This window comes from Homo sapiens, chromosome 7 (assembly GCF_000001405.40).
Source record: "Homo sapiens chromosome 7, GRCh38.p14 Primary Assembly".
In the NCBI taxonomy this organism is placed as follows: domain Eukaryota; kingdom Metazoa; phylum Chordata; class Mammalia; order Primates; family Hominidae; genus Homo; species Homo sapiens.
The window spans coordinates 116405561-116430192 of record NC_000007.14 but is presented as its reverse complement, the minus strand read 5'-3'; the positions used below and the strand labels follow the sequence as shown (position 1 = coordinate 116430192).

At 37.8% G+C, this 24632-nt stretch overlaps 1 long non-coding RNA gene across 5 annotated transcripts in view, besides 3 other annotated features; it reads left to right on the top strand.

Moving 5' to 3' along the window:
* The window catches only part of CAV2-DT (CAV2 divergent transcript), an 83411-nt gene extending 69324 nt beyond the window's left edge, over nucleotides 1-14087 (top strand). For all 5 annotated transcript variants that reach the window (NR_188012.1, NR_188010.1, NR_188009.1 and 2 more), the window contains 2 exons: nucleotides 12884-13069; nucleotides 13652-14087. This is a non-coding gene — a long non-coding RNA (CAV2 divergent transcript). The remainder of the gene's footprint in view (nucleotides 1-12883; nucleotides 13070-13651) is intronic.
* Nucleotides 8645-9610: a silencer, noted in NCBI's record as "nonconserved region 1 (NR1) negative regulatory element (NRE) in the greater CFTR locus". NCBI's record gives its function as "strongly represses an SV40 promoter coupled to the HS2 beta-globin enhancer in the forward orientation in transfected K562 and 293T cells {active_cell/tissue: K562 | 293T}" and the evidence as "EXISTENCE:reporter gene assay evidence [ECO:0000049][PMID:18436892]".
* Nucleotides 9164-9458: an enhancer, noted in NCBI's record as "tiled region #12966; K562 Activating DNase matched - State 8:EnhW". NCBI's record gives its function as "activates a minimal TATA promoter and a strong SV40 promoter by Sharpr-MPRA in K562 cells {active_cell/tissue: K562}" and the evidence as "EXISTENCE:reporter gene assay evidence [ECO:0000049][PMID:27701403]".
* Nucleotides 9164-9458: a silencer, noted in NCBI's record as "tiled region #12966; HepG2 Repressive non-DNase unmatched - State 24:Quies". NCBI's record gives its function as "represses a minimal TATA promoter and a strong SV40 promoter by Sharpr-MPRA in HepG2 cells {active_cell/tissue: HepG2}" and the evidence as "EXISTENCE:reporter gene assay evidence [ECO:0000049][PMID:27701403]".
* Nucleotides 14088-24632: the final 10545 nt, after the last annotated feature.

The following is a 24632-nucleotide window of genomic DNA, read 5'->3' as shown; positions in this document are numbered from 1 at the left end:
CCATTATAACTGATCACAAACTCCTATAATAAAAGCCTGTAACCACAGCATTGCAAAATAGAGATTCTCAAACATACAAGAGATCACCAAACAACTGAGAAAAAACAAATCGAGGAAATAGAACTGATAGAGAACAGAATACTTAAAAAATATATATCATTAATATCCCTGAAAACACTCAAGAGATAGCATATTAATAAAATAAGACCAAGAAATTCTAAGAAAGAAAATATGTCAAAAAGTAAACATGTATGAGAGTCAAAATACTTATCAATCAAGAATAACAAAATAAGCTGGGTGCGGTGGCTCACGCCTGTAATCCCAGCACTTTGGGAGGCTGAGGCAGGCGAATCACCTGAGGTCAAGAGTTCGAGAGCAGCCTGGCCAACATGGTGAAACCCCACCTCTACTAAAAATACAAAAATTAGCCAGGTGTGGCGGTGGGCGCCTGTAATCCCAGCTACCCGGGAGGCTGAGGCTGGAGAATCACTTGAACCCGGGAGGCAGAGGTTGCAGTGAGCCGAGATCAAGCCACTGCACTCCAGCCTGGGTGACAGAGCTAGACTCCGTCTCAAAAAAAAAAAAAAAAAAGTAACAAAATAAAGTGTAGCAATATTATCAGTTAAAATATAATCTAAGGAATATTTTAACTTAACCTAGGGTAATTATTGATAAAAAAGAAGCATAATCCACCAAAATAATGACAGTCATTAAACTTAAATTTTAAATATATAATGCAAAGATTGATAGAATACAAGAAACAAGTAACAACTACAATCGAATGTAAAGTATTACTATGCTTTTCAAAATTCAATTATTTGAGTAAACAAAAATAAGAATTGCTATAAATTTTTTTAAAAGAACAAGTTTGATTAGATATCTCTAAGAAAAAGAGAATATATGTATTTTTCAAACTTTCCAAATTAAATTAACCAGGTAGGAAATTTGAATTTGTAGCAAATTCTAAAGAATATGTCATATATGCTACACATATTTTTCTTTTAAAAAAATGTTTTTTCTGTCTTTGCTATCTGTTCCCACTGTTTTTTTTATATATATATATATTTTTACACACAGGAAGGGGAACATCACACTCTGGGGACTGTTGTGGGGTGGGGGGAGGGGGGAGGAATAGCATTAGGAGATATACCTAATGCTAAATGACGAGTTAATGGGTGCAGCACACCAGCATGGCACATGTATACATATGTAACTAACCTGCACATTGTGCACATGTACCCTAAAACTTAAAGTATAATAATAATAATAATAAAATATTTTTAACATAATACATTAAATAAAAAAATTAACAATTAAAATACAACTAAAATATCTTTTTATGGAAACTTTAAAAGACTTATTTAGAAAACTGTTGGCTAAAGAGTAAATAAAAATGAATAATAAATATTATAAGTGAACAATGAGAAAACAGTACATTACAATATGTGAAATGTGGCCAAAGCTGTAGGCAGAGGGAAAATTTTAGCCTTAAGTGCATTTGTTAGAAAAGAGAATATATTGGGGGAAAAAACGCTAAGCATTCATACCAAATGTGTAGGAGGAAAAGAAAAAACTTGAATTGTTAAGAATAAAAAGTAGGAGAAAGTGGAAACTTAGTAAATGTACAAATTGTTTTTGGTAAAATACAGAATCTGTGGATTGGTCAAGATAAAAAAGACAGTACAAGTACATAGTATAATATTAGAAATAAGAAAATGAACACAACTAAAGGTAGAGGGAAGGTTTTAGAAAGAGAAAATAATAGCAAATACAACTTTGTACTATTTTATCTGTAACTTGTATAAACTGTGTAGGCAAAAATAAATAATCTAATTGAGTACATCTTGTTGTTCAAATAATGTTTGCCTAGGGCCACTGGTGACCATCTTTCTGGACACCTGGAGGAATCTTCTTATTTGCAGTAGAAGAGAATAATGCTGCACCCAAAGAGAAGCAAAGCTAAGAGATATTGTTGAAATAGAGATGACAGGAGAGAGAAACAGAGAAAGAGTGAGCCCTGGCCAGAACCACTCTGTTTGGTTCTCCGGTATGGTTCTTGGAGTTGTATTAGAGAACACAAACTAAAGAACATAGCAAAAAAATGGCTTCTGGAAACTCTCATGCTTGATGTCTAGAAGAATACCTTTATAGAAGAATATAATACAATAAAAGGTATTAAGTCCCCACATGACAAATGGCCAATGCATTCTTTCAAGGAAATAGTGCATCATGCCCATATCTTGTTTCCTACATTTCATTTATTTGTTTCTGAAACATCTCGGACAAGACAAATATTCTGCAAATGTTCATGAGAGTACTTATTTCTGGAATTGTACTTTTTTTCTTCAACTATTAAACTCCTTAAAGTAGGGAATTAATGCCTATACACCGAAATAGAAAAGTGATTAACTTTAATGGAACCACATGTTGCTAAGGATGGAAATAGATTTGATTGACTTTGGGCTTTAACAAAGGAATTTTAGTCATAGTCTTCAGCATTCTCTTTTTTTTTAAACCATGACCCAGGAAAAATCTTCCCAAGGACTGTATTTCATCATACAGAACAGAAAATGGTTAATGCAGGTGCACGAAAGTAATTTTCAAATCTATTTATAAATGAAACATGGATATGTGTGGTGCTTTGCAGAGGGAGAAGAACAAGAACTTCTAAAAAACCTATATATAGTCTCTGTCTTAAATAGGTACCTTTTAGGCAGTAGTTTCTCATCACTGTTTGACTTAGAAGTTTTGTGAGAAATGTCGTATCCAATTTCAACATAACATTGGAAAAAGACTTATTTTAAGTCTGATCCTTTGGTTCAGGTGCTGCCAGGAAAACAATTTAATATGAAAAGACCCTCCTTCATATGTCTGAAAAACAAGCACAAGAAAGAAGCCCGAAAAAAAAATCAGATTACATTAAAAATCATTAGGAAGTAACTCTAATTTGGGGGGGGGTTCAAACCAGGTTTCTTTTACATAGAATTTATACAGGAAAAAAAATCACCATCATACTGATCGTATATGTAAAACTAAGGCTTCTATTCTCCCCCATCATTTCATTAGCTACACGAGTTTGAATAATGGATTAAATATGAAGATCTCAAAAGAGAAAAGTATCTAAAATTGAGTTTAAATCAAAATTAAACATCCAAATTGACACCTCAAGTCCAACAGGTCCAGCTGACCCTAGGGAGATGAGACAGCAAGTGTAGGGGATTCAGTCATGAAGAAGGAACAGCATTGGAGATAGTCTTGAGGACAGTTCATCCTAAATGCTGCCGTTTCTATGCCAGAAGACTCCTTACCTTTCTTTTTCTTTTATTCCTATGGATGATTCTTTCTTTTTCTGAGGGCTCCACTCTTAAATATTTGTTCTTTTGGTCCTAGATATTTTTTTCTTATCTATGACTTGGCTTCATTTATCAGGTCCAAATGTTGACCTCTGCCGTGGATGGCAACTTCATGCCACATTTTCAGTGTAGTGCCCCATCTGTATTTATTTACTTTATAATAGAGTGTTGGCAATCTCCTGGAATGCTGTTTTCAACTTATCTTTATGATTATACTCCTGAGATAATACAACTCACAGCTACACTGAGTCCATTAAAGTTATGGTGACATTGGCTTTAAGCCCAGCTAGAAAAAAAAAAAAATATGCCTTGACTTCCAGTGAGTGGAATTTCTGAGTCACACATCCTCGCCCTAGTGTCATATGCAGATGCATCCTCAGAAGACCTGAGCAATTCTGAAGAGGTATTTCCATGTCTTAGTCAAGGATCTCCAAAACAATTAGCTAATTATTTAATTTATTCAAAACATGTTTTTTATCTTCATGTGGTGTCATAAAATTTTCATTCCAGGAGACCTTGCTTGATATATTTATTACATAATTTTCTAATGAAGACAAAAGGTCCATAAGGGACTATGATCCAGGATTTTCATTTCTTTTCCCTGAGGAGCCAGGTACTAACTCTTGATCATAATTTGAGAAAAGCAAGGTTATTCTACACACTTCTCACACACCGTTGGTGGAAATGTACAATAATCACTTTGGAAAATAACTTGGCAGCTTGTAAATCGTTGACCATAGACTTGCTATATGATCCAGTCATTCTATTCCTAGATATACCACATATTCAGACCAAAACTTACAGCTGCTCTACTTTAAAAGTCAAAACCTGGAAACAACCCACATATTCATCAACTGGTGGATGGATAAAACAAACTGTGACATATTCCCACAATGAAATACTATACAACAATAAAAGTGAACCATTGATACATACTGCAACACAGATGAATCTTAAATATTTATGCTGAGTGAAAGAAGCCAGAAGGAAAAGAGTATATACTACATGATGTCATTCATATAAACATCTGTGACATGAAACCTAATATGCAGTCTCAGAAAGCCGATCAGTAGTTCCTGGGGAAGGGGTGGGGAGTGGGACATAAATATAACAAAGATAAAGGAAAACTTTAGGAAGTATAGAAATGTCTATTATTTTGAGTAGGTAATGTTTTCACAGAGTAAACATGTCAAAAATTTCCAAACTTTATACTTTAAGTATGTATAATTTATTGTATATCAGTACTATCTTAATAAAGCTGTAAAACAAAACTTTGTTCCTAATGAATGGTTACCTCAAAAATGCCAGACTAAATTCCATAAATGAGAGTACAGACCTATTTTCTCTATATGCAAACTTGCAATCCCTTAATTGATGTAGAAAGACAGTATTTGTTGAGAATATAGTCTTTGCTCACAATTCTTTTTTTAAAAAGTGAAAGAGTCTCTTAAAGTGCACTGAGCTTGGTACATTAGTCACTTTCATATAAAATTATAAGTAAAGGTCTTTTCCACGTGGGTTGTGTGGGGAGGGAGTCAGGATGAGAGAATGTGCCTTCTGCTCGTTTTTTTTTTGTTGTTGTTGTTGTTTCTCATTTTTCAAAAGGCAATTTAGACAGATTTGACATTTTCTTAAAAGACAGCAGATATATTGAAGTGGCTACAAATGGGGGGTTTAGGCTGGGCATGGCGGCTCATGCCTGTAATCCCAGCACTTTGGGAGGCCTAGGTGGATGGATCACCTGAGGTCAGGAGTTCAAGACCAGCCTGGCCAATATGGCAAAACCCCGTCTCTACTAAAAATACAAAAATTAGCCGGCCATGATGGTGTGCACCTGCAATCCCAGCTACTCAGGAGGTTGAGGAAGGAGAATCGCTTGAACCTAGAAGGCGGAGGTTGCAGAGTGAAGATCGTGACACTGCACTCCAGCCTGGGTGACAGAGTGAGACTCTCTCTCAAAAAAAAAAAAAAAAAAAAAGGCTGGGCACAGTGGCTCACACCTGTAATCCCAACACTTTGGGAGGCAGAGTCGAGTGGATCACAAGGTCAGGTGTTCGAGACCAGCCTGAGCAACATGGTGAAACCCCGCTTCTACTAAAAATACAAAAATTAGCCAGGCATGGTGGCGTGTATGACTGTAGTACCAGCTACTTGGGATGCTGAGGCAGGAGCATCACTTGAACCCAGGAGGCAGAGGTTGCAGTGAGCCGAGATCTCACCACTGCATTCCAGCCTGGGCGACAGAGTGAGACTCTGTCTCAAAAAAAAAAAAAAAAAAAAAGAGTGTGGGTTTTAGAGTTAGCCTCTTCTAGCTCAGATCCAGCTCTGCTCACCTTTGGTCAGTGAATTAATCTCTCTAAGCTTTAATTTCCCCATCTTAGAGATGCGGATAATAGAAAAACATATCTCATAAAGTTGTTTTACTGACCAAATAAGATAATGCATAAGAAACCTTTAGCATAGTGCCAGGCATAACACACAAAATGTCAACTATTATGCAAAATCCTTGACAAGTTCCCAACTATTATGCAAAATCCTTGACTAAGTTTCCCTGTGGGGAAAACTAGAACTGAGCAGCCTGAAATGGTAGGGGGCAAAGAAGGAGGCTAGTGGAGACCACTATAAAATTATACTTTGGCACATTTCCTTTGTTTGGAGAAATAACACTACACTGCTGGTGTAAACCAGAGAAATAAACATGGAGGGAAGCTGTGATGCAAAAAATAATAAAGGGACTTAGCTAACACTCTGTGCAAATACATAAACAATCTGAGAAAAAGACATTGGAAATACCATTCTCTGTGCCACCAGAGTACTACTTTCAACTGAAGTGCACTTTTTTGGGGGCGGTGGGGAGTAGTTTGTATTTTGATAATAGATGCAGTTGGTGGAGAGAAAAGGGGATGCATAAGGTGCTTAACTCCTGTCTAGTCCCTGGTTCTACTAACTGCCCATCCAATGACAGACCGAGTAGGATCTGATAGAAAAGGGAGCAGCCAGTTTCACGGGCCGGTGTGTAGTCAATGCCTGAATTCTTTCTGCATTTATGTTGTTTCTTTCCATTTCCTGTGCTCAGCTACCTTTGATTGCTTGATATGCTACCCACACACTCTTGAGTTAAACTTCTTGTATTAATACACAAGTGTTTTCTTCATGAAGCTGTGTCTCATGAAAACTTTAAAAGGTGAGGCTGGATTCCTTGCATTTCTTTTGTCTACACCCTGATTTCTTTGGCACAGCAACAGCTCTTAGGTTTTGGACATTAAAACATATGCTAATAATCATTGATTGAACTAATCTAGCACATATACCAAAAGGTAGCTGATTTCTCTGTGATGGAATGCTAATGAATAAATATGGGAAATGTCTACCACCTTCAATCCTCTTATTAAATATGTTTTGATGGTTATACTTACGGTCATAGTCATTGTTATCGATTGACAGTTACTCTCATTGTCATAGGGAAAGCTCAACTGATAGTTTTCTTTGTTTGATTTTTCAATTCTTCCTCTTCACTCTACCCCCATTTCAAATTTACATTGTTTAATAATTAAGTTGATTTAGTTTGAGATTTTATTTTGGAAAATTTCATGACACCTCTCTAGATCCTTTGCTCTTTAGGTGTCATTTTGGGTAACATTATTTATTCCCTGCTGATGGTACATTTCTTATCTGCCTATGTCACTGTTGAATGTGAACAGTTCAGTTTAGCTTTCTTGTTTGAACATGGTGATTATATTCTTTTCATGGGTACCTATAAATGTGCCAGGCACTGGGGGAGTTATGTTAGCTTTTGAAATCTTTTTTCTTTGCAAATGTCTTTTTTATTTGCCCATATTCTTTCTGTGAGTTTGTATGTTCTCCACAGCTGCATCTGCTGTGGAGAACATTTGTTTTTAACATGGTTATTTGTTGCCAGGGATAATAGGCATCCTAGTTGCACTCTGCCCAAATCTCTGGGAATGATCAATCAGGCAATCCTACTGATAGGCTGCAGAAATGGTTTGTGGAAAGAAACACAAATGAATTGGGCAATTAGAATCAGCTGGGGAGTGTATTTAAAAAATAGTTTTATTTGGCCTCATATGGCTTGTGGCTTGAGGCATATTAGCAGTTTTTGCTGAAAGCACACTGGAAGACCAAACAAGAACCAGAATTTTTACCAGATATATTTGTAATTGCATATATAATTTAATTTGTTCAGTTAATTTGTATGTAAACTAATTATGAATGTTAACTGTAGTAAAATATACTATCCCCATTCCCCATCATTTGGTAGACTAGAATGTAAACTTATTAGTAACATATAACAATAATCCTATATTACGCTACAGGGCAGCAATGTTTACAAGAGAAAGATCTGTTTTACACGTCACCCTAAGGTCCCCTGCAGGTATATGCAGGACCTGCAAAATATAATTCTACTCCTTTAAGAGAGATCCAAAAACGTAGGAGGAGAGCAGGGGGAGTAATCCAGGCATTGATGCTACTCAGAGAATGACTATTACATGAGTAGATACATGTTTAATGTGATTAACACCTTCATTTGCACGTATATTATACTAACAGAGTCTCTTTCTCTTTAATCTATTTTACTGAAGATCAGGAGTGGGATTAGGGTCAGGCAGATGAAAAAGACAACCAAGTCTTGCCACATAATCAAGATACACAAAATATCTTCATTCAAGATGGTGAGGAATTACTCTCAAGTTTACAAAAAGTATTAGTTAAGTCACCATTTTAACTCTGACATTTATTTAAGTACTCTACTTATTTGTGAATAGATTTTACATAAATGATGCATCCCATTTTTTCATGGCATGGCCAATTCTTTTTTTTTTTTTTTGAGACCGAGTCTCACTCTGTTGCCCAGGCTGGAGTGCAGTGTTGCGATCTCGGCTCACTGCACCTCTGGCTCCCGGGTTCAAGCAATTCTCCTGCCTCAGCCTCCTGAGTAGCTGGGATTACAGGTGTGCACCACCATGCCTGGATAATTTTTTGTATTTTTAGTAGAGACAGGGTTTCACTATGTTGGCCATGCTGGTCTTGAACTCCTGACCTCAGGTGATCAGCCCGTCTAGGCCTCCCAAAGTGCTGGGATTACAAGAATGAGCACTGCACCTCCCCTGGCCAATTCTTTTAAGAGTGTTTTGTTATTGTTGATTTAAAATTCAATAATATTAATTTGTTTCCTAAAATGAGACATTGGAATTGTTTGCTCTGAACACAAACACATTACTTATTTCAAGTTAGTAGAACAAACATTTACAAACATTTTAAAGAAGGAATTCATGTTTTCCAAGCCTCTACCACATGAAAAAAAAACAGCCATCTCATTATTGTAAATATTGACAGTGATTAAGTTGTTGGGTATATAGTAGGTAGTTCCTAAATCTGATGGCTACATGGATGAATGAATAAAAAAGTAGAAAAGCTAAGGAGAGGACTAAATTTAAAAAGGATTTTCTTGCAGAGAAAGCATACTTCTACGGTGGATGTTAGCTATGTTGTTTGTACAAATGCCCTGAAAATGTTTTTCAGCTCAGGTGCTGTAGAAATAATGTTTTTCTTTCCATGACTGTACCCCATCACATTTTTTAACTAAAATGATCTGAAGGTCAATTGATCAATGTGTTAATTATGAGTAAAACAATGTGCTAACTACAACTAACCTGCCTCCCCCAGGCAATACCTGTCTACTTTTTTGATACTGTGGGAGATCTGTCTTTGGAAGTGGTCATTTCTACCTTCTTTTAAACCTGCAACTTTTGCCCTGCCACTCTCATCCAGATCTGGCTCAGAGAATATAGAGAATATATCTGCTAGTGTCCCACTGTCCCATGTTTAGCAGGTCCACACTTCTGGTCTCATTTCTACTCCCTCTTTGTGTTCTTAGCCCATCACCCAATACTTGGTTCCTGATACAGCCCTGCAAAGGCCACACTTCTGCCTCTTATCACACGAACCACCAGATCTGGGTATGGTATCTGTAGCTGCTTGTCATAGGGGTGAGCCCTTGAGATGGAGGTGATGGTAAAAACAGCCCTGAATTGGAAATCAGGAAACTGGTTTGCCACTCACAAATTGTGAACCCTTGGATGGGTTATTCAGCTTCTGTGGCTTCTCTATTGTCTTCCGCAAAAATGAGATTTAATTACAGATAGGTCTTAAACTATTCTGGGTCTAATAGTCTCTGTTACATAAAATAAGCCATTTCAAGATAAAGAGATATAATTGGAAACTTTTGACACATGGGCCGTGGAACATTTACTTGTGTTCCTTTTGCATAAATATTATGAAAATTGTTCTTTGAAAAAACAATCTATTGTTAAATAGTACTGCATCCTTGCTTTTAGAAACATTTTTAAAAGACCAATTTGGAATTTCTAACCTTCTCTGGTATATTCCATGGTTTTTGATTAAGGGGTTTTAAGAACTTTGTATAATTAGCAAATCATTTCAAATGAATGAAAACTCACCTCATTATAAATTAGAAGCAATGAACGTTCTAACTTATTTTGTTTCAGACTAAAGGCTGAAGTCTGAGCAATACATAAATAAGCAAGCAAGATAGAATCCATTGGAAATATCACATCTGTCCACTATCATCACACATAAAGGCACATTGTGTGGTCCTGATAAAGATTACACAGTATCCAGAGGAGGAAGTGCTTTCTCTAAAAGAGAGGGAGAGATGAATAACTAGGGAAGCAAAGAGTTCTGTAAGAAAAATCAAAGACTGGGTGGGTAGAGTCGGAACTAGAGGAAGAATTTAGGCAAGAGGAAAACTCAAGGACAAATAGAGGGTTTAACTGTTCAGGCTTGCAGGCGCCATCTGAAATTGCAAAAGAAAGGAAAAATTGAGCCTGAGATATGATTAGGACAGTCATATTGTGTATGTTGAACAAAATATAATGGAAGGATGAACAGGATGGCTTATTTTTTCATTCAGTTTCCCTATCTACAATTTAGCATTTAAATTCTGAATACATGTATGTGACCTCTACAATAGCTGAGTTGTACACAGCAGGATGGTTGTGCCATCTAAAGACAACAAGCCATCTAAAGATAAAACTGCAGGCCCCAAAACACAGCATGCTCAAATTCTTTTTGTTTCTTCTACTTTTGTTTTAGCTTCTGGAGGTACATGTGCAGGTTTGTTACATGGGTAAATTGTTTGTTGCTGGGGCTTGGTATGCAAATGATCCTGTCACTCAGGTAGTCAGCATAGTACCTGAGAGGTAGCCTTACCAGCCCACAGCCCCCTCCCATCCTCCTTTCTCAAGCAGTCCCAAATGTCTATTGTTCTCATCTTTGTGTCCATGTGTTTTCAATGTTTAGCTCTCACTTATCAGTGAGAACATGTGCCATTTGGTTTTCTGTTCTTTTGTTCATTCACTTAGGATAATGGCCTCTAGCTCTATCCATGTTGCTGCAAAGGACACAGTTTTTTTCTTTTTGTGACTGTCTAGTATTCCATGGTGTATGTGTACCACATTTTCTTTATCCAGTCCGCCGTTGATGGACATCTTTGTTGATTCCTTGCCTTTGCTGTTGTGAATAGTGCTACAATGAACATACGAGCATGTGTCTTTTTGGTAGAATAATTTATTTTCCTTTGGGTATATACCCAGTAGTGGAATTGCTGGCTCTCATAGTAGTTCTTCTTTAATTTTTTTTTTTTTTTTTTTTTAAGAACTCTTCACACTGCTTTTCGCAGTTGGTTGAACTAATTTACATTCTTATCAGCAGTGTACAAGTGTTCCGTTTTCTCTGCAACCTCACCAGCATCTGTTGTTTTTTGACTTTTTAGTAATACCCATTGTGACTGTCATGAGATGGTCTCTCACTGTGGTTTGGATTTGAATTTCTCTAATGATTAGTGATGATGAACATTTTTTTTCGTATATTTGTTGGCTGCATGTATGTCTTCTTTTGAGAAGTGACTGTTCATGTCATTTGCCAATTTTTTAATGTGGTTATTTGTTTTTTGTTTGTTTAATTGTTTGCATTCCTATAAATCAAGAAAGATCTTCCTAATTTGAAAGTAAACAGTGATACTAAAATTTGTAAGCCTAGTCAAATGTGGGCTATTCAACAGGTGTGATGTCCTTCATAGGTATTTCTAAGAAAAAGAAAAGGAAATGGATAAATCTGGGCATGGGATTCCTTTTGTGGCAGACAGTGTTTATTGGCTTGCCCAGTACTTAACCTCAACCTTTTCTTCCCTTTCAACCTCAGTTATAGAGGTTGAAAATGTAAGATACTTGTATTCCCCAGCCCCCTTTACAACTGAAAAAGGCTTTGTGGCTAATGACAAGTAAGCAGATATCTGCTGGGATCTTTCCTCGTCCTCTGTTCTATCTGTTCTAAGGAGGACATGGGCTCTACAGCTGTGTCAGCTGCTTTGTGACCTCAAGAAAAAGGACAAATGAATTAGACAACAGTCATGACATCACTGAGCTACTGAACCAATGTTACCAGCTGCTTCAGATTTTTACTATGTAATAAAAAGAATTCTCCATTTGCTTAAACCTTTGCTAATGAGTTTTACTCTTATGGATGAAAACATCCCAATATACCTTCCAGACAAGACAATTCTATTCTGCGCTTCCACATCATGCCTAGTAGCACTCTGATTCCAAGCGAGATAAGACTTATTTTGCTTCAGGCGTCTTATCCTGCTTTCCATGAACAAATACAGTCTCTTCCCAGGGCATCTTAGCAAATGGACACATGTGCTTGCCAAGGTGACTCTGCCATCCTGTGTGACGGGAGGAGGAGGGGTAAAGTTTGGTTTCAGAAATATAAGTTCTCTGCCCTGAGCAGAGATAGACAGAGTCATAGAACTTGGCCTGTTCCTTCCTCTGTATCTCCCTTCCTCCCCTCCCTTTTCTGTATGACAAGCAGAAAGACAAAGAGCTCAGTGTTTCTCTCTGCCTAAGGAAGTGTGCTCTGTGTGTGTGTGTGTGTGTCTGTGTGTGTGTGTGTGTCTGTGTGCATGCACGCGTGTGTTTGGGGGTGGTGGAGGTGGTAATCTCTATGCTGTCTCATCTTCAGTAGAGATAAGACAGGCAGGGAAGGTGGAAGGGAGTCCAGTAACACAATCAAAAGGAAGGAAACTCTCACTTAAAGTCAGCAGTTAAAAGCAGACTCCACACTTGCTACAAACAGCAGTAGTGAAGGAAAAGGCTCGGTGTAGAAATAAATACAGAGTAGCTTAAATGCCATGAGGAGGGGGGCATAAAAAAATTCAAGAAAATGTATATAGAGTAATAATTTGGGGTGGAAAAACAGGTAATGGTCACAGAAAAGGGAGAAGAAAGTGTGGAAAGATTATTCTGATGAGCTTACTTTCTCTTCTAGCCCTCAGATTATATTAGCCATGAAAGTAACAGGTCATGGAAATGAAATGTGTACATGATGGGTGCATTAATTTGCTTCACTACAGTAACCTGTTTACTGTCTATATTTAATTCATAACATCATGTTGTATGCCTTAAATATACATAATAACATTTATTTTTAAGAAAAGAAAGTACAGAGAAAAAAAAAGAATGGAATACACATGAATGCCGAACCACATTGGATATGTAGCTGTTCATGAAGATATTCCAGGGAAGGCCTATCTAGTAGAGCCTCAAATCTATTTGAATACAAATGGCACTCATTAAGGACATCTGTCTTCTGTAATGTCTACACAAAGTCTTACCGGGGTAAGCAAATCTTTGCCACAGCCTTTTGAGGTCTTAATAAAAATCATGAAATTTGTGACAGAGACCATCGTTGCTATAGAACAAGCAGAGACATTTAGGTATGAAGCCATTAATGATAAACAATATTAATATTATTATTAATTATAGTGTGACCTGGCATCTTATTCATACTGAAACAAGATGACATCAAATAATACTAACATAGAACAACTAGTTTACTTCATTTAGTTCTCAAACACATTTAAGGTTAACTTTCTTAATCATGAAAGAAATCTGACTTCAATTGTAAATATCTAAGAGTCCCTAAGATCTGAATGGGAGATGAGAATTCCTCTGTTAATCATGAAAATTTGAAACTAACTCATATCCTATAGAATGAAAACAATTACTTATATGAAGTTTGAGTTTCTTTCATAAAAATTATAGCCTGCTATTGGTATTTTGGAAAATATTTACAAATCACTTGTGGACCATCAGTTTTCCTTTCTGAGAAAATTGAGTGCATTAATATAACTACTTATATTGGGAGTTAGAGTTGGGTACTCCTCATTTACATTTTGGTTCTCTGTCATCTTTAACTAGGTCTTCTTGGCTCTTATTGACGGCTGATGAAGGAGGGGTTTATAAAGAAAACAAGCCAAAACCTGAATAACTTGCTACTGAGAGCAGCACACATATTTTCCCAAAGTGCAAAGTTGAGAAGAAGTACAAAGCTTTGTTAATATTCTGAACAGTACTGCTTAGTATGATCTAATTGATGGATTTTCCATGGACTCCCTAGAGACTGAAAAAGGTTTGACTGTCAGGAAACTTTTCTTGTGTTTATTCTTCAATTTTCCTTTTCCTACTTTCCAATCATCATTCCCTATTAACATCCCTTGATGGGTCACCTTAAGTGATTATTCTTTTTAATGGCATTTATAACGTTTAATATTTCCCTGTTAATTTCTATTCCGACAAAGTACATATTTTTTTAATCTTCACTCATAACATTAATAAATTTTTCCAACATTTTAAAGCTCAGTTAACATTTCCTTATATATGCCTCTGTCTTTAAAATATGAGATCTGAATGTACTGGTATCACTAGAATTATCTACAGAGTTCTAATGTGATGGAAATTGTGCTACAAAAATTTGTTCTTACATAATTTGCTTCAACGGAATTCCTCCTGAACTAAATACTTAGTCTTTACATTCTTTAAAATAACTAAAATTTCCCAGAGGAAAGTCTGAATTGTTCATTTAACCTTGTGTGATGTGTGCTGTGTGTAGCTGAAACAGCAAAGTGGACACACCTGCACCCTTAACATTTTTGACTTTTTTTTTTTTTTTTTTAAAGAATCAAGTTTCGTTTTTGTCACCCAAGCTGGAGTGCAGTGGTACAATCTCCGGTCACTGCAACCTCCGCCTCCCGGGTTCAAGCGACTCTCCTGCCTCAGCCTCCCAAGTGGCTGGGATTACATGTGTGCACCACAAAGCCTGGGTATTTTTTTTTTTTCATTTTTAGTAGAGACGTGGTTTCACTATGTTGGGCAGGCTGGTCTTGAACTCCTGAACTCAGGTGATCCTTCCCCGCTAGGCCTCCCAAAGTGCTGGAATTTCAGGCCTGAGCCACAGCACCTGGCCAACTGTGACTCATTTTTAAAGCGGTTTGGCAATAATGCTATATACGTATAATGGTTTTGAATAAAATATACAACTATACATGGCCTGTTATCTTCTTATTTTAGACAGAATAATCTTAGTCTTGTACTTTCATGTATTAGGCTGATAGCCATGAGATTTGGGGAGGAAAAAAATAGGATAAAATAGGACTCACTCATTTCAAGAAATAGAGTTAGTTTTCTATGCAAGCATTTTCTCCCCTTCTCCTTAGCCCACCAAAGTGGTAAATGAGACTTCCAGCCATGAGGCTGTTTGCACCTCTGTCTGGGAGGAGACTTCTGGAGCTTTGGTTGCTGCTAATGACTTGGAGGGGCTTTGAAGGCCCCCTTGAAGATGTCACGCATGACCTCTGGACCCTTGGTATCTTTCAAGAATCCTTATGAGATACTAACTCATTTCGTTTATAATAGGTGAAAACAGATCATGTATTTTTAAACCAGATAATGCCTAAGTTATATTACTCTAGAATTCATAGAAAAAATAAAATAGCCGAGATCTTTAAAAAGACTGTAATGTGGTATTAGTGGACTGTCTTTTTTTTTGTTTATGGAGAGAAAAAAATTATTTGTAAGTTTTTTTTTAATTTATTATTGTTATACTTTAAGTTTTAGGGTACATGTGCACAATGTGCAGGTTAGTTACATATGTATACATGTGCCATGCTGGTGCGCTGCACCCACTAACTCGTCATCTAGCATTAGGTGTATCTCCCAATGCTATCCCTCCCCCCTCCCCCGACCCCATAACAGTCCCCAGAGTGTGATGTTCCCCTTCCTGTGTCCATGTGTTCTCATTGTTCAATTCCCACCTATGAGTGAGAATATGCGGTGTTTGGTTTTTTGTTCTTGTGATAGTTTACTGAGAATGATTATTTCCAATTTCATCCATGTCCCTACAAAGGACGTGAACTCATCATTTTTTATGGCTGCATAGTATTCCATGGTGTATATGTGCCACATTTTCTTAATCCAGTCTATCATTGTTGGACATTTGGGTTGGTTCCAAGTCTTTGCTGTTGTGAATAATGCCGCAATAAACATACGTGTGCATGTGTCTTTATAGCAGCATGATTTATAGTCCTTTGGGTATATACCCAGTAATGGGATGGCTGGGTCAAATGGTATTTCTAGTTCTAGATCCCTGAGGAATCACCACACGGACTTCCACAATGGTTGAACTAGTTTACAGTCCCACCAACAGTGTAAAAGTGTTCCTATTTCTCCACATCCTCTCCAGCACCTGTTGTTTCCTGACTTTTTAATGATTGCCATTCTAACTGGTGTGAGATGGTATCTCATAGTGGTTTTGATTTGCATTTCTCTGATGGCCAGTGATGGTGAGCATTTTTTCATGTGTTTTTTGGGTGCATAAATGTCTTCTTTTGAGAAGTGTCTGTTCATGTCCTTCACCCACTTTTTGATGGGGTTGTTTGTTTTTTTCTTGTAAATTTGTTTGAGTTCATTGTAGATTCTGGATATTAGCCCTTTGTCAGATGAGTAGGTTGCGAAAATTTTCTCCCATTTTGTAGGTTGCCTGTTCACTCTGATAGTTTCTTTTGCTGTGCAGAAGCTCTTTAGTTTAATTAGATCCCATTTGTCAATTTTGGGTTTTGTTGCCATTGCTTTTGTTGTTTTAGACATGAAGTCCTTGCCCATGCCTATGTCCTGAATGGTAATGCCTAGGTTTTCTTCTAGGGTTTTTATGGTTTTAGGTCTAACATTTAAGTCTTTAATCCATCTTGAATTGATTTTTGTATAAGGTGTAAGGAAGGGATCCAGTTTCAGCTTTCTCCATATGGCTAGCCAGTTTTCCCAGCACCATTTATTAAATAGGGAATCCTTTCCCCATTGCTTGTTTTTCTCAGGTTTGTCAAAGATCAGATAGTTGTAGATATGCGGCATTATTTCTGAGGGCTCTGTTCTGTTCCATTGATCTATATCTCTGTTTTGGTACCAGTGCCATGCTGTTTTGGTTACTGTAGCCTTGTAGTATAGTTTGAGGTCAGGTAGTGTGATGCCTCCAGCTTTGTTCTTTTGGCTTAGGATTGACTTGGCGATGCGGGCTCTTTTTTGGTTCCATATGAACTTTAAAGTAGTTTTTTCCAATTCTGTGAAGAAAGTCATTGGTAGCTTGATGGGAATGGCATTGAATCTGTAAATTACCTTGGGCAGTATGGCCATTTTCACGATATTGATTCTTCCTACCCATGAGCATGGAATGGTCTTCCATTTGTTTGTATCCTCTTTTATTTCCTTGAGCAGTGGTTTGTAGTTCTCCTTGAAGAGGTCCTTCACATCCCTTGTAAGTTGGATTCCTAGGTATTTTATTCTCTTTGAAGCAACTGTGAATGGGAATTCACTCATGATTTGGCTCTCTGTCTGTTGTTGGTGTATAAGAATGCTTGTGATTTTTGTACATTGATTTTGTATCCTGAGACTGCTGAAGTTGCTTATCAGCTTAAGGAGATTTTGGGCTGAGACAATGGGGTTTTCTAGATACACAATCATGTCATCTGCAAACAGGAACAATTTGACTTCCTCTTTTCCTAATTGAATACCTTTTATTTCCTTCTCCTGCCTAATTGCCCTGGCCAGAACTTCCAACACTATGTTGAATAGGAGTGGTGAGAGAGGGCATCCCTGTCTTGTGCCAGTTTTCAAAGGGAATGCTTCCAGTTTTTGCCCATTCAGTATGATATTGGCTGTGGGTTTGTCATAGATAGCTCTTATTATTTTGAGATATGTCCCATCAATACCTAATTTATTGAGAGTTTTTGCATGAAGGGCTGTTGAATTTTGTCAAAGGCCTTTTCTGCATCTATTGAGATAATCATGTGGTGTTTGTCTTTGGTTCTGTTTATATGCTGGATTACATTGATTGATTTGCGTATATTGAACCAGCCTTGTATCCCAGGGATGAAGCCCACTTGATCATGGTGGATAAGCTTTTTGATGTGCTGCTGGATTCGGTTTGCCAGTATTTTATTGAGGATTTTTCCATCAATGTTCATCAAGGATATTGGTCTAAAATTCTCTTTTTTTGTTGTGTCTCTGCCTGGCTTTGGTATCAGGATGATGCTGGCCTCATAAAATGAGTTAGGGAGGATTCCCTCTTTTTCTATTGATTGGAATAGTTTCAGAAGGAATGGTACCAGTTCCTCCTTGTACCTCTGGTAGAATTCGGCTGTGAATCCATCTGGTCCTGGACTCTTTTTGGTTGGTAAGCTATTGATTATTGCCACAATTTCAGCTCCTGTTATTGGTCTATTCAGAGATTCAACTTCTTCCTGGTTTAGTCTTGGGAGAGTGTATATGTCGAGGAATTTATCCATTTCTTCTAGATTTTCTAGTTTATTTGCGTAGAGGTGTTTGTAGTATTCTCTGATGGTAGTTTGTATTTCTGTGGGATCGGTGGTGATATCCCCTTTATCATTTTTTATTGCATCTATTTGATTCTTCTCTCTTTTCTTCTTTATTAGTCTTGCTAGCGGTTTATCAGTTTTGCTGATCCTTTCAAAAAACCAGCTCCTGGATTCATTAATTTTTTGAAGGGTTTTTTGTGTCTCTATTTCCTTCAGTTCTGCTCTGATTTTAGTTATTTCTTGCCTTCTGCTAGCTTTTGAATGTGTTTGCTCTTGCTTTTCTAGTTTTTTTAATTGTGATGTTAGGGTGTCAATTTTGGATCTTTCCTGCTTTCTCTTGTGGGCATTTAGTGCTATAAATTTCCCTCTACACACTGCTTTGAATGCGTCCCAGAGATTCTGGTATGTTGTGTCTTTGTTCTCGTTGGTTTCAAAAAACATCTTTATTTCTGCCTTCATTTCGTTATGTACGCAGTAGTCATTCAGGAGCAAGTTGTTCAGTTTCCATGTAGTTGAGTGGTTTTGAGTGAGTTTCTTAATCCTGAGTTCTAGTTTGATTGCACTGTGGTCTGAGAGACAGTTTGTTATAATTTCTGTTCTTTTACATTTGCTGAGGAGAACTTTACTTCCAACTATGTGGTCAGTTTTGAAATAGGTGTGGTGTGGTGCTGAAAAAAATGTATATTCTGTTGATTTGGGGTGGAGAGTTCTGTAGATGTCTATTAGGTCCGCTTGGTGCAGAGCTGAGTTCAATTCCTGGGTATCCTTGTTGACTTTCTGTCTTGTTGATCTGTCTAATGTTGACAGTGGGGTGTTAAAGTCTCCCATTATTAATGTATGGGAGTCTAAGTCTCTTTGTAGGTCACTCAGGACTTGCTTTATGAATCTGGGTGCTCCTGTATTGGGTGCATATTTATTTAGGATAGTTAGCTCTTCTTGTTGATTTGATCCCTTTACCATTATGTAATGGCCTTCTTTGTCTCTTTTGATCTTTGTTGGTTTAAAGTCTGTTTTATCAGAGACTAGGATTGCAACCCCTGCCTTTTTTTGTTTTCCATTTGCTTGGTAGATCTTCCTCCATCCTTTTATTTTGAGACTATGTGTGTCTCTGCACGTGAGATGGGTTTCCTGAATATAGCACACTGATGGGTCTTGACTTTTTATCCAATTTGCCAGTCTGTGTCTTTTAATTGGAGCATTTAGTCCATTTACATTTAAAGTTAATACTGTTATGTGTGAATTTGATCCTGTGATTATGATGTTAGCTGGTTATTTTGCTCATTAGTTGATGCAGTTTCTTCCTAGTCTTGATGGTCTTTACATTTTGGCATGATTTTGCAGCGGCTGGTATTGGTTGTTCCTTTCCATGTTTAGCGCTTCCTTCAGGAGCTCTTTTAGGGCAGGTCTGGTGGTGACAAAATCTCTCAGCATTTGCTTGTCTGTAAAGTATTTTATTTCTCCTTCACTTATGAAGCTTAGTTTGGCTGGATATGAAATTCTGGGTTGAAAATTCTTTTCTTTAAGAATATGGAATATTGGCCCCCACTCTCTTCTGGCCTGTAGGGTTTCTGCCGAGAGATCCGCTGTTAGTCTGATGGGCTTCCCTTTGTGGGTAACCTGACCTCTCTCTGGCTGCCCTTAGCATTTTTTCCTTCATTTCAACTTTGGTGAATCTGACAATTATGTGTCTTGGAGTTGCTCTTCTCGAGGAGTATCTTTGTGGCGTTCTCTGTATTTCCTGAATCTGAATGTTGGCCTGCCTTGCTAGACTGGGGAAGTTCTCCTGGATAATATCCTGCAGAGTGTTTTCCAACTTGGTTCCATTCTCCCCATCACTTTCAGGTACACCAATCAGATGTAGATTTGGTCTTTTCACATAGTCCCATATTTCTTGGAGGCTTTGCTCATTTCTTTTTATTCTTTTTTCTCTAAACTTCCCTTCTCGCTTCATTTCATTCACTTCATCTTACATCACTGATGCCCTTTCTTCCAGTTGATCGCATTGGCTCCTGAGGCTTCTGCATTCTTCACGTAGTTCTGGAGCCTTGGTTTTCAGCTCCATCAGCTCCTTTAAGCACTTCTGTGTATTGGCTATTCTAGTTATATATTCTTCTGAACTTTTTTCAAAGTTTTCAACTTCTTTGCCTTTGGTTTGAATGTCCTCCCGTAGCTCAGAGTAATTTGATCGTCTGAAGCCTTCTTCTCTCAGCTCGTCAAAGTCATTCTCCATCCAGCTTTGTTCCATTGCTGGTGAGGAACTGCGTTCCTTTGGAGGGGGTGAGGCGCTCTGCTTTTTAGAGTTTCCAGTTTTTCTGCTCTGTTTTTCCCCATCTTTGTGGTTTTATCTACTTTTGGTCTTTGATGATGGTGATGTACAGATGGGTTTTTGGTGTGGATGTCCTTTCTGTTTGTTAGTTTTCCTTCTAACAGACAGGACCCTCAGTTGCAGGTCTGTTGGAGTACTGGGCTGTGTGAGGTGTCAGTCTGCCCCTGCTGGGGGGTGCCTCCCAGTTAGGCTGCTCATGGGTCAGGGGTCAGGGACCCACTTGAGGAGGCAGTCTGCCCGTTCTCAGATCTCCAGCTGCGTGCTGGGAGAACCACTGCTCTCTTCAAAGCTGTCAGACAGGGACATTTAAGTCTGCAGAGGTTACTGCTGTCTTTTTGTTTGTCTGTGCCCTGCCCCCAGAGGTGGAGCCTACAGAGGCAGGCAGGCCTCCTTGAGCTGTGGTGGGCTCCACCCAGTTCTAGCTTCCCGGCTGCTTTGTTTACCTAAGCAAGCCTGGGCAATGGCGGGCGCCCCTCCCCCAGCCTTGCTGCCTCCTTGCAGTTTGATCTCAGACTGCTGTGCTAGCAATCAGCGAGACTCCACGGGCGTAGGACCCTCCGAGCCATGTGCGGGATATAACCTCCTGGTGCGCCGTCTTTTAAGCTTGTCGGAAAAGTGCGGTATTCGGGTGGTAGTGACCCGATTTTCCAGGTGCCGTCTGTCACCCCTTTCTTTGACTAGGAAAGGGAACTCCCTGACCCCTTGTGCTTCCTGAGTGAGGCAATGCCTCGCCCTGCTTCGGCTGGCGCACGGTGCGCGCACCCACTGACCTGTGCCCACTGTCTGGCACTCCCTAGTGAGATGAACCCGGTACCTCAGATGGAAATGCAGAAATCACCCGTCTTCTGCGTCGCTCACGCTGGGAGCTGTAGAGCGGAGCTGTTTCTATTCGGCCATCTTGGCTCCTCCCTAGTGGACTGTCTTGCTTTGTCTGGTAGTTCTACAGAATTAAGCTTTATTATCCTAAAAAAGAAATTATCACATCTCCAGGAAAAGCTTCCTCTGGGGTATAAGCATTTTGCAAATCTAGGGAGTCCCTGTGTGAAGTATCACTTGCCTATTTATTGAGTGTTTCCCTAAATGACTAGTGTCATCTCCCAATGGTCATTAATATTCTTCTCCAAAGGTTCTATCTGTCAAAAATGGGGAAATGTGACCCAGTATAAATAGGATGAGGTATTTTCATTGGTACTTGTGGTCTACCCTGGCTTGCTGCTGCTCCCAAGGGGAGACAGAAGTTCTGTTCAACACAGTTGGAAAGTTTCTGGACTCCAAGTGTCAAACCAGGAGTGGAGACGCAGCAATTTTCAAAAGAAAACAAAACAAACAGTCGACACATCTATCTCCTTTTCTCTTCTAGTGCATATTCTATCACCTCCTCATTTAAATTGCACTCTCTCACTTTTGTTTGAACTAAAGCTTGTGTTCATCTTGAGCCAATAAAAACTACAAAAAGGAAACATCTGTATTGTTAAGTAACTAATGCTGCTATGATAACCCAGCAAAGTAACAATCTAATTAAAGATCATATGGCCAAGGTTTTAGCAGATAATCTTTTCAAGGCAGAATAAAATTTGTTACTATGTATAACTGTTACATTTACATACATGAAATTAGATTTGTATCTAATTTATTTTTGTATTACCTTATATTTTTTAATATTTTAAATATGTACTGTTAATATTCCATGACATTTGATCTTTGAAACAAATTGAAAGATGGGTATGTTACATAGACTTAAAGACATATAAATAATTAGTAAAATTGCTGACACAAGAGCCTAGCAAATTCCTTACAAAATTATCTATGTTAGAAAATATGGTTAAATTCTAATGAAGCGAGTTGTTTTGGAAATTTTCATTGACTTGCTGGTAGGGTTTTTAAATAATGCAGAAGCTTTCTGGAAGGCAATTTCAAAAACTTTAAGTGTTCATACCCTTTGACCAGAAATTCTACTTCCAAGAATATTTTCTAAGTAAATAATTAGGTATTTGCAGAAAGACTTAGCTACAAAGAGGACCTCTGAAGCATTGCTCATGTATTATTTAGAGTAAATAACAATAGTACTTGCCTTTATTAAAAAACCAGCATGGCACATGTATACATATGTAACTAACCTGCACAATGTGCACATGTACCCTAAAACTTAAAGTATAATAAAAAAAAAAGTAATCCAGAAATTTTATGACTCAACATTCAGAAATGTATATTTTTTGCTTACAGAAGTTCCACAATGGATGTTCCTGATGAGTGTGCATTCGTATAATTATTCAGAGACTCAAACTCCTACCATTTAATGTCTCCTCCATTTCTGGAGTCCCAGGAGTCCTCTTCAAGAGAGCCTCTGTCTTTGGCTGACCTTCATGAGAAAGTATATGGAGGTCACATGGGTGATATTTCATGCTGAGCCTGTAAGTTACACAGATCCCTCTGCTCACATTTCACGGGCCAGACAACGCATGGCCACTCCACAGTATGGGAAGCTGGGACCTGCACTCCAGTTCTGTGCTTAGACAATAGAAAAGGAAGATTTTGAACATTTAATAGTCTTTCTTCAACTTATAATTGGAAATACATTTTAAAATAGTCATATATTCATATAGTAGAATAAAAAACTTGATAGTAGTTATCAAACTTTTTTACCATTCAATACAATGAAAAGATGTTCTTGATGTATCGAGTGGAAAGTGTTTGTTACAAACAATGTTTTTGTCACAAGTTTTATGGTTATTCACACAGCCATGCTATCATCTCAGCAATGTCATACTTCCTGCTTTCCCAAGTTTTCCTTTTTTTTCTTTTTCTTCTATGTGCTTAGTAAAGAAAGCATGATGGCTGGGCACGGTGGCTGATGCCTGTAATCCCAGTACGTTGGCAGACCAAGAGGGGAGGATCACGAGGTCAGGAGATTGAGACCATCTTGGCTGCAGTGCAACTCTGTCTCTACTAAAAATACAAAAATTTAGCCAGGCATGGTGGCCAGGCGCCTGTAGTCCCAGCTACTCGGGAGGCTGAGGCAGGAGAATGGCATGAACCTGGGAGGCGGAGCTTGCAGTGAGCTGGGATGGCACCACTGCACTCCAGCCTGGGCGACAGAGTGAGACTCCATCTCAAAAAAAAAAAAAAAAAAAAAAAAGAGAAAGCATGATATGTAGAAAGATTTCACACTAGGGAACCTGATAGATGTAGGTTTGAATATGGATATTTGTCATTTATTAACTGAGTTAACTGAGCCCAATTAATCTAACTTATATGAGGTTTATTTCTTTTTATTTTTAAAAGATAAAAAAATCTACTTCATAAGGTCATATAACATACTTAACACATGTAATATGCTTAACAAAGTGTCTGGCATATATCATGTATATTATATATGTAACATATGTACATATGTAATATACTTGACAAAGTGTCTGGCATATGTAATGTATTTTTAAAATCCTATAAATGATATAGTGATATCAATTGTTACTTTTATGATATTATGATCAGGCTACTCCAAGTACATAGATAGCAATTTGTTAAAAATGTATTCAAATGGACTGCAACTTTCACTGTTCTTTTCCTTAGCCTCCAATGGTTTAATGTATTTCTTCTGAATGTTTTTCTTAATATCCAGCGTCTTCTCACAAACCTTCCAAAGTATATATCATGAGCTAGGAATATTTATTCCTATTTTTGAATAAATATTTAATTTTAGTTTTAATAAATAATTATAAATACGTTATAAATAATTACAAATAACAATAATTTTAATAAAATTAATTTTAATTTTAATAAGTAAAAATTAAATAAATATTTAATTTTAATAAGTAAAAATTAAATAAATATTTAATTTTAATTATATTTGACACTGGGCAGTACTTTTGTTCTTGTCTAAATACTATTGAACTGCCCTCTCAAATTGAGGTGAAAGATTGTACATTTTGGCAGACACTATGGGTTGCCTGCCACAGAGCCACTTTCTCCCTAGTCCTCAACACTGGCAAAGTCTGCTTCTCACTTTGGAACTTGAAAATGTCAGACTCTGCCTATCCGAGTCCTTCTTGCTGCTGGAGCACAGGCATGTGATCCAATCCTGCCTGGTGGACCAGAAGAGAAATCTACTGAGGAAGTCTCAGAAAGGTATTCCTCTGCTAGTGAATTGACTGTGTTCTCAGTTATCTAAGTTTCCCTGCATCTAAACCCTTGGCAGTGTGACTTTGTGATT